At 41.3% G+C, this 2,965-nt stretch overlaps 1 annotated feature.

Annotated features, from left to right (window-relative positions):
* Positions 646 to 815: an enhancer, noted in NCBI's record as "experimental_9687 CRE fragment used in MPRA reporter constructs". NCBI's record gives its function as "activates a minimal promoter by MPRAs in K562 erythroleukemia cells, with activity observed for the introgressed 10:10242106 variant allele {active_cell/tissue: K562}" and the evidence as "EXISTENCE:reporter gene assay evidence [ECO:0000049][PMID:34662402]".

Here is a 2,965-nt window from a genome sequence, read left to right as displayed (position 1 = left end):
TGTAAGGGATGAAAAGTTGGTTTTCCTCATCCCTTGTTAGGCTTATGGCTGAGGTCTCTATAACAAAAGATAGACTAGCAAAAGGGAAACACAGAGATTTGTTTCATATGTTTTACATGCCACAGAAGACTTCATAAGGAAATTAACCCAAAGAAACAGGAAAACCTGTATATTTTTATGGTAAATCTGATGAAAAAGCAGGCAGGCATGCAGAAGTATGATTGTACTAAGGGGGTATGATCTAATGGTACAAAGCTGGGGGACTTATCAATGTCCGTTTGTTTAGATTCTTCTCTGTGTCCCTGTGTTTTCAGAGATAAGGACACTCCCTGTCTCTGGATACACGGAAAGCATCTCTCACATAGGTGCTTATAACTTGCTTCAGGGGAGAAGGAGCTAGGGGAAGGTGTTTTCTGCTGTTTTCTCAAATGACAAGGCACCATATTTTGGGGTGCCATGTCCTGAACCTTATCATGAGACTCAAGGGAGTCATTTGGTAAACAAAAGCTGAGCTAAAGTCAACCTCACAATAGGCTCAGGCTTATCTCAAACCCATTCCATGTTTGTTTCCTGAATTTGTGTAGAGTTGGAAAGGCTGCCTTCAGGAGTTGACAGATTACCTGTGTTGGCTTTTTGCTTTCTCCGTCAAAGAGTTATGTTAGGAAAAGACAAGGACACACACAACACCTGTTGCTGAGAGAACTTCTGAAGACAATGCCCTATTTTGGTCTCGATGGCGGCAAAAGTAGGTAACACCATCACAACCCCTTTTGTCTCTAGTTTGGTTGTTGCAGAAGATGGGTAGATTTAGAATGACAGAGAATTACGGTTCACTTAATCAGATCATGATTCTAATCTGAGGTTTTTTTTTATTACAGTAAATCGAGGAAGGCCCTGAATTCAGTATGCATCCTCACGTCAGTAAGGCCAAGCTTTGCTGCCAAATGAGTTACTAAACTTAATTTGCAGATTTTAAAAATTTTTATGATTGCAGGGAAAAACTCTTTCCCAGTTTACCCGATTATCTGGTTATTTCTTCTCATCTTTGCTCAAAAATATTACCTCCTACCTATGACTTAAATGTTGCCACCTTCCAGCACTAAATTATAAATCCATTTCTCTTCTAGCTCAATGCACTCCTGCTGGGTATTTTTATCCATTCCTCTGGATTAAATTTCTGTCTGACTGCCAGTGAATTCCAAGTGTGTATCTCCTGTCTAGGTATCTTCCATGAACACTAGTTCCAGATACCTAAGGGAATTCCACTCAGCTCCACTGCAGACAGTTCAACCTCATCATATTCAGAATTAAAGCTGCAATATTCCACTCCAGACCTGCCTTATCTCAACAAACAATACATAGATTTCACACCAAAACAATTCCTTCAGCCAGAACATAGGGAGTCATGGCTGCTTGTTCAGGATCAAGAAGCCCAGGATTTCGATGTCTGCTTTGCTTCTGCATTTAGAATTGAGAGAGATCTTGTGCAAGTCACTTAACATTTTGAGCATAAATTACCTCAGCTATAAAATGAGATATTTTAAAATAAAAGGTCTGTGTTTAACATCTAGCTCTAGTACTTACAAAGTATGTGACTTTTACCACTTTTTAATTTGTAAAATGGTGATGATAAGGACACAAGACCCACACAATTTTTAGGAAAAAAAAAGAAACCCAAAAAACAAAAACAAAGATGATAAAGTCCATGAATGCATTTTGTAAAATGTAAAGTACTATACAAATGCTTGCTTGCTATTATAATCAATAAGTCTCTAAATTTTTGTAAGCTCTAATACTCTGCTTCTACCGGGACAGAGAGCATCAACCTCAGTTATCAATCCTGAGCAGAATATCCCCCGTAGATACGACAGACAACTGGCTAATGTTATAAAAATCTGGAAGTGGGAAGGCATCTGTTCTCAATGACAAACTTCTTGAAGAGGTCACACCTAGTGAGCTCCTCATAAGAGGCTATGACCATTTGGGCCAGAAGGAGAGTGTCTTTGGGTCTCGAGGTTTTCCAGCCCCAGCTGTGAAGGCTTTGTTTGGATCCAACTCAATTCATCACCAGCTCCCTGGGAAATGATCAGAGGCATTTTTGAAAGTCAAATGTGCAAGAAGAGAGGTCCCCGAGCAGGGTAACATCCTTCATCTACCCTCCTTCCTCCTTCTTACGGCTTTCAAATAGCATGGCAATTCCTTTTTATTTCCTTAAAGTCTTTCTTTTCATCTCCAGCACGTCTAACTCTTGTGTCATTATAATTTCACTTATTTCTATAAAAGAAACCTGACAGCTACAGAACATTTGAGGGAAGGGTGGAAGGAGGGTGGGCATGAGGGGGAGTGGAGAAACAGGCAGAGAGGGAAAAAGAGATCTGTGCATGGCTGGGAGTCCTCAGAGAACCCCTTTGTGTGACACTTTCAGGAAGGCCCGCATCTCAGCCATGTGGCAGCTCTGGGCATTATTTTCTGACGACATCTAGAGTATTCGTAGAAAATGGGATGAAATCATTGCAGCTCAGACAGCAGGGAGGTCAACTAATGTCCCCCATATCAACTACACACTTGCTTCATTTACAGAGATGCTTAAAATGATGCCAGGCGCCTATGTCTCCACCTGTGTTCACTGCAACCCATACTGTGCGTTCTTGTTACAGGCAGTAAGTTCTTACTAATTTATTCATTCATTGATTTCTCTCCTAATTCCAAACAGTAAACTGAAAGGTGCTATGGACTGCAAGTCTGTGTCCCCTCAAAACTTCATATAATGAGACCCTAAGCCCCAGTGTGATGATGTTAGCAGGCGGGGCCCTTGGGAAGTGAAGAGGTCAGGAAGGTAGAACCCTCATGAATGGAATGAGTGCCTAAAAGGCCTGACAGCTTCTTCTTCTCTTCCTCTATTGGCCATGCGAGGATACAAGAATTTTCCAGTCTGCAACCTGGAAGAGGGTCCTCACCAGAACCC

The sequence above is a fragment of the Homo sapiens genome, chromosome 10, assembly GCF_000001405.40.
Source record: "Homo sapiens chromosome 10, GRCh38.p14 Primary Assembly".
NCBI classification, from domain to species: Eukaryota; Metazoa; Chordata; class Mammalia; order Primates; family Hominidae; genus Homo; species Homo sapiens.
Note: the sequence above shows the minus strand (reverse complement) of the source record. Positions and strands in the feature narration are given on the sequence as shown.